Source organism: Homo sapiens, chromosome 10 (assembly GCF_000001405.40).
Source record: "Homo sapiens chromosome 10, GRCh38.p14 Primary Assembly".
NCBI lineage: Eukaryota > Metazoa > Chordata > Mammalia > Primates > Hominidae > Homo > Homo sapiens.
In genome coordinates this window covers 49,727,133-49,734,429 of record NC_000010.11, presented here as the reverse complement: position 1 = coordinate 49,734,429, position 7,297 = coordinate 49,727,133, and positions in this window count along the sequence as shown.

Genomic DNA, 7,297 nt, shown 5'->3' with positions numbered 1-7,297 from the left:
ATTCTCTTGCCTCAGCCTCCTGAGTAGCTGGGATTACAGGCATGCGCCACTATGCCCGGCTAATTTTTTTGTATTATTAATAGACGGGGTTTCACCATGTTGGCCAGGCTGGTCTCAAACTCCTGACCTCAAGTGATCCGCCTGCCTTGGCCTCCCAAAGTGCTGGGATGACAGGTGTGAGCCACTACGCCAGATTTTCATTTGAGCACCAGGTAGTGTCTGTTGGCTTCTCCACTCTGGCCTTTTGTGGGTTTTGCTTCCCTGTGGAGATACTGGAGAAGCTGCCACAGAGGAGGGATGTTTTGCTTGGAACAGATCATGTGTTCATTTATCCCCTTCTCAGAGCACTTCCTCCGTGCGGGACACTAGGGCCCGGGTGGAAGGCATCTGTCTGCATGCTGGCTTTTCGCATCGGGAGTCCAGTGGGGAGACATGTCAGCTGTTTAATTCATTGAGTTACGAGTTATGTTGGAAGTCAATGCAGACAGCTGTGGGTGTCAGGGAAGGATCCCTGGAAGAGGTGGTGTTCAAAGGAAGAGGAAAAGAGAGATGAACCTCTCTGGAACAGACAGAAATACTGACCATAGGGCTGGCATGAGCAACCTAAAAGAACGATCAGCGTGAGGTTGGACAGTGGAGTGTTAAGTTTTATCAGCCTCAAAAATAGCTTGTTGAAAAATTAGCTGGGCATGGTGACACGTGCCTGTAATCCCAGCTACTCAGGAGGCTGAGGCAGGAGAATTGCTTGAAACTGGGAGGCGGAGGTTGCTTTGAGCCAAGATCGTGCCACTGCACTCCAGCCTGGGTGACAGAGCAACTCTGTTTCAAAAAAAAAAAAACAGAGTATGTCTTGTTGAGATATACTTTGAATCCTACCACAGGGACATTCAAAGTGACATAAAGTGAAAAGAATTGTAGCCCCCATTTATAGTGTCTGTCGTGTCTTGGGCCTTCTGCTGGATGTTTTGCGTGTGTAATTAAACGCTGTCTAATCTTCACCATGGCTTTGCATGTTGGGAATATTTCCATTTTATAGACGAGGAAATCGAGGTTCATATAAAGTTATTTGCCCAAGGTCACTTCCTAAGGAAGTGGTGGTTTTGGACTTCACCTCTGTCCTCAAGACCACATTGCTTCCCTTGGGGAAATCAGCTCTTCCCATACCATGCATTCCTAGCCCCACAGAAATCCACTAGTCTGGGCTTTCTCTGCGATTGGCTGAGGCAGCAACTGGTGAGGCACCTGGGCTGTGCAGGAGCCCTTGGGGATCAGATGGTGGATGTGGCCTGCCCAAGGTGCATACAGTCCCTTCCTTAGTGTGGGTACGGGAAGGCTGTAGATAGGCCAGAGGTCATCTCCTGCAGGAAGAGGTACAATCAGCCAGGCATGGTGGCTCCTAGCTATAGTCCCAGTTACTCAGGAGACTGATGCAGGAGGATCACTTGAGCCCAGGAGTTTAAGACCAGCCTGGGTAATGTAACAAGACCCTGTCTCTTTAGGAAAAAAAAAAGGGAAGAGGTGCAACCACCAGATTACCAAATTGGGGAAAACCAACCACATAAAAAACGGCTCCAAACCCTATAAACATAAGAACTAACCCTGGGATGCCGGGTGCGGTGGCTCAAGCCTGAAATCCCAGCACTTTGGGAGGCCGAGGCGGGCAGATCACCAGGTCAGGAGATCAAGACCATCCTGGCTAACACAGTGAAACCCCGTCTCTACTAAAAATACAAAAAAAAATTAGCCGGGCATGGTGGTGGGCGCCTGTAGTCCCAGCTAGTTGGGAGGCTAAGGCAGGAGAATGGCGTGAACCCAGGAGGCGGAGCTTGCAGTGAGCTGAGATCACACCACTGCACTCCACCCTGGGTGATAGAGCGAGACGCCATCTCAAAAAACACAACCAAAAAAACAACTAACCCTGGGAAATAAAACAAGCTCATGGAACAAGCAGAAGGCTTTAAATGAACTGTAGTAACTTCAGAGGGCAAGGAGAATATTGCTGCTATGAAATAATAACAGACTATTTTTAAAATAATTGGATGTTAAGAAAATATGAAATTTTCCCAAAATTAAAACCTCAGTAGATAGGCTGAATAGCAGAACAAACACAGCTGAAATACAAAATAAGTTTGAAGACAAGGCCAAGGAATTCTCCAAAGAAAGTTGAACAAAGAACAAATATATATATTTTAAAATTCTTTAAAGAAACATGGAGAACACAGGAGTTTCACAATGCTGATACTGCATCTAACAGGAATCCCAGGAGGAGAAGACACAGGGGATCTTTGTGATGGAATGTCTGTCTCTTGACTGTATCAATGTCACTGTATCCTGGTTGTGATTATCCTAGAGTATTGTAAGATGTTATTATTGGAGAAAAATGGGTAAAGATTCTCTGTGATGTAGTTCTTAATGATGGCATGCAAATTTACAGTGATATCAGATACAAAAGTTTAATTAAAAAATGAGTTGTCTGCTCCCTATTGAGTTGTAAGGGTTCCTTATATACTCTGGAAACAAGTCCTTTACCACATGTATTTTGCAAATATTGTCAGTCTGTGGCTTGTATTTTAAATTTCACTAAGAGTGAAAGATTTTTATTTTCATGAAGTTCAATTTATCATTTTTAATCATTTGTGTTTGTCTGTTTGGGTTGCTATAACATAATGCCATAAACTGGGTGGCTTGTAATATTTCTCACAGTTCTGCAGGCTACGAAATCTAAGATCAAGGCACTGGCAGATCTGGTGTCTGGTAAGGGCCTGGCCTCCTCAGAGATGATGCCTTCCTGCAGTGTCCTCCATGGTAGAAGGGGCAAACAAGTCTGCCCCTGGACCTCTCTTTTAAAAAATTTTTAATTTAATTTAATTTTTTAAAATTTCAATAGGTTTTTGGGGAACAGGTGGTGTGTGGTTACATGAATTTTAGTGGTTGATTTCTGAAATTTTGGTGCACCCATCACCTGAGCAGTGTACACTGTACCCGGTGTGTAGTCTTTTATCCCTCACCCCCCCAACTCTTTCCCTTGAGTCCCCAGAGTTCATTGTATCATTCTTTATTCTTTTCTTTTTTTTTCTCACTCTATTGCGCAGGCTGGAGTGCAGTGGTGCAATCTCAGCTCACTGCAGCCTCCACCTCCCAGGTTCAAGCGATTCTCCTGCCTCAGCCTCCTGAGTAGCTGGGATTACAGGTGCACACCACCATACAAAATAATGTTTGTATTTTTAGTAGAGATGGGGTTTCACCATGCTGGTCCAGCTGGTCTTGAACTCCTGACCTCAAGTGATCTACCTGCTTTGGCTTCCCAAAGTGCTGGGATTACAGGTGTGAGCCACCATGCCCAGTTCCGTTATATCATTCTTATGCCTTTGCGTCCTCATAGCTTAGCTTCGCCTTATGAGTGAGAACATAGAATGTTTGGTTTTCCATTCCTGAGTTACTTCACTTAGAATAATGGTCTCCAATTCCATCCAGGTTGCTGCAAATGCCATTATTTCATTCCTTTTTATGGATGAGTAGTATTCCATGGTGTGTGTGTGTGTGTGTGTGTGTGTGTGTGTATTACATTTTCTTTATCCACTCGTTGGCTGATGGGCATTTGGGCTGGTTCCATATTATTGCAATTGCGAGTTGTGCTGCTATATGCATGCATATGCGATTATCTTTTTTGTATAATCACTTCTTTTCCTCTGGGTGGATACCCAGGAGTGGGATTGCTGGATCAAACCGTAGATCTACTTGTAGTTCTTTAAGGAATCTCCACACTGTTTTGCATAGTGGTTGTACTATTTACATTCCCACCAACAGTGTAAAAGTGTTTCCTTTTCACCACATCCATGCCAACACCTATCTTTTTTTTATTTTTTGATTATGGCCATTCTTGCAGGAGTAATGTGGTATTGCATTATGGTTTTGATTTGCATTTCCCTGATCATTAGTGATGTTGAGCATTTTTTCATGTTTGTTGGCCATTTGTATATCTTCTTTTGAAAATTGTCTATTCATGTCCTCCCACTTTTTGATGGGATTGTTTGTTTTTGTTTTTGCTGATTTGTTTGAGTTCCTTGTAGATTCTGGATATTAGTCCTTTGTCAAATGTATAGATTGTGAAGATTTTCTCCCACTCTGTGGGTTGTCTGTTTACTCTGCTGATTATTTCTTTTGCTGTGCAGAAGCTTTTTAGTTTAATTAAGTCTCATCTATTTATCTTTGTTTTTGTTGCATTTGCTTGTGGGTTCTTAATCATGAAGTCTTTGCCTAAGCCAGTTTCTAGAAGGGTTTTTCCAATGTTATCTTCTAGAGTTTTTATGGGTTCAGTTCTTAGATTTAAGTCTTTGATCCATCTTGAGTTGATTTTTGTATAAGGTGAGAGATGAAGATCCAGTTTCATTCTTCTACATGTGGCTTGCCAAATATCCCAACACCATTTGTTGATTAGGGTGTCCTTTCCCCACTTTGTTTTTGTTTGCTTTGTTGAAGATCAGTTGACTGTAAGTATTTGGTTTTACTTTTGGATTCTCTATTCTGTTCCATTCGTCCATAAGCCTGTTTTTGTTGTTGTTGTTTTGTTTTGTTTTTTGAGACAGGGTCTTACTCTGTCACCCAGGCTGGAGTGCAGTGGCACCATCTAGGCTCACTGCAACCTCCGCCTCCTGAATTCAAGTGATTCTCGTGCCCCAGCCCCCCAAGTAGCTGGGATTACAGATGTGTGCCACCACACCCGGCTAATTTTTGTATTTTTAGTAGAGACAGGTTTTCACCATGTTGGCCAGGCTGGTCTCAAACTCCTGGCCTCAAGTGATCTGCCCACCGCGGCCTCTCAAAGTGCTGGGATTACAGGTGTGAGCCACTGCACATGGTCTATATGCCTGTTTTTATATAAGTACCATGCTGTTTTGGTGACTACGGTCTTATGATATAGTTTGAAGTCGGATAATGTAATGCCTCCAGATTTGTTCTTTTTGCTTAGTCTTGCTTTGACTATGTGGGCTCTTTTTTGGTTCCATTCACGTTAACTTTAGGATTGTTTTTTCTTGTTCTGTGAAGACCTAGAACTTTTTTATAAGGACTAATCCTATTCATGAGGTCTCTACCTTCATGACCTAATCACCTTCCAAAGGTCCCATTTCTTCACACCATCAACTGAGGGGTCAGTATTCCAACATATGAATTTGGTGAACACAGATATTCTAGCCATCATAGTGTCCTAACTAAAAAAAAATTTAAACCTAATGTTAAGATTTTCTCTTGTATTTTCTTCTATATATTTAATAGTTTTAACTTTTTTTTTTTTTTTTTAGACGGAGTCTCACTCTGTCACCCAGGCTGGAGTGCAGTGGTGTGATCTTGGCTCACTGCAAGCTCCGCCTCCCAGGTCATGCCATTCTCCTGCCTCAGCCTCCCGAGTAGCTGGGACTACAGGTGCCCACCACCATGCCCGGCTAATTTTTTTTTTTTGTATTTTTAGTAGAGACAGGGTTTCACCATGTTAGCCAGGATGGTCTCCATCTCCTGACCTTGTGATCCGCCTGCCTCAGCCTCCCAAAGTGCTGGGATTATAGGCATGAGCCACCGTGCCCAGCCAATAGTTTTAACTTTTAAGTTTAGGTCTATAAACATACATTTTGAGTTATTTTGTATATGGTGTAAGGTGAGGGTCCAGATTTATTATTTACTGGATGATAATCAATTGACCTTGTACCATTTGTTTAAAAGACTATCCATTACTCATGGAATTAACTTGGCACCTTTGCGTACATAATATATAGTCAATTACATAGCATAAAAATGAGAAAATATGTGCAAGACCTGCACACTGAAAGTATAAAATATTACTGAGACAATTAAAGAAACTCTAATAAAGGGAGAGAGTTATACCATGTTAAGAATCAATCCTTCCCAAATTGATCTATAGATTTGACACAACCTCCATTCAAATTATATCAAACTGTTTTATAGAAATTGAGAAGTTGATTCTAAAATCTATGTGTAAGTATTTAACTAAAACAACTTTGAAAAGGAAGAACGCAGAAGACTTTCATTACCTAATTTCACAATTTATTATAAAACTACCATAAAAGCCTGATGGGATTTTGATTTGTATTGTGTATATATCAATTTCAGGAGAAATGATACCTTACAATCCAGCAATATGTTCTATACCTGCATGTATCTATATCTTTTAAAATTCTACTCAACAACATTTTACAGTTTTAATTGTATAAGAATAACATATATTTAGCTAAATTTATCCGTAAACATTTTAGTTTTTAAAGCCACCATAAATGGTATTTTTAAAATTTCAATGTCTAATTATTAATTGTTAGTGTAGTAAAATGGAATTGATTTTTACATACTGAGAACATGCTTACTAGTTCTAATGGCTTATTAAAATAGATTCCCTTGGATTTTCTACAAAGATAATCATATAATCTGCAAATAGAGTTTTATATCTTCATTTGAAATCTTTATGTATTCTGCCTATATTATTATTTTTACCTTACTGCACTGGCTAGGATCTTCTGTAATGTGTTGAATAGAAGTTGTAAGAAGTTGCCTATTCTTAGAGAAAAGCATTTAGTCTTTCATTATTAAGTATGATGTTAACCAAAGGTTTTTCTTGGATGCTCTTTATCAGGTTAAGCACAATTTTTCTATTCCTGTTTGCTGAGAGTTTTTATAAGGAACGTATGTAGGATTTTGATAAATTTGTTTCTTGTCTATTGTGATGATCATATAGTTTTTCTTTTTAGTCTTTTAATATGGTGGATTACATTGATTGACTTTTGAATATTAAATGTATTTTCCATTCCTGGGATAAACAACATGGTCATAATGTGTTACTTATTTTATATATTGATAGATTTGGTTTGCTAAAATTTTGATTAAGACTTTTACATCTATGTTTATGAGAGACATTGTTCTGTAGTTTTTTTCTTATAATGTCTTTGTCAAATTTTGATATCTGTTGGGAAGTGTTCCATCATCTCTTGTTTTCTGGAAGAGATTATGTGGACATGGCATAATTCTTCTTTAAACATTTGGTAGAGTTAACCAGTGAAGCCACTTGGGCCTGGAGTTTTCTTTGTGGAAGGGTTTTAAATAATAAATTCAATTAAAAAATAAATTTAGGGCTACTCGTATTATCTGTCTTCTCTTGAGTGAGTTTTTGCACCTGTTATGAGCTTGATTGTATCCCCTAAATTCACATGCTGAAGTCCTCACTCCCAGCATCTCAGAATGTGGCCATATTTAGAGATATGGCCTATAAAGGGATAATTCAATTAAAATGAGGTCA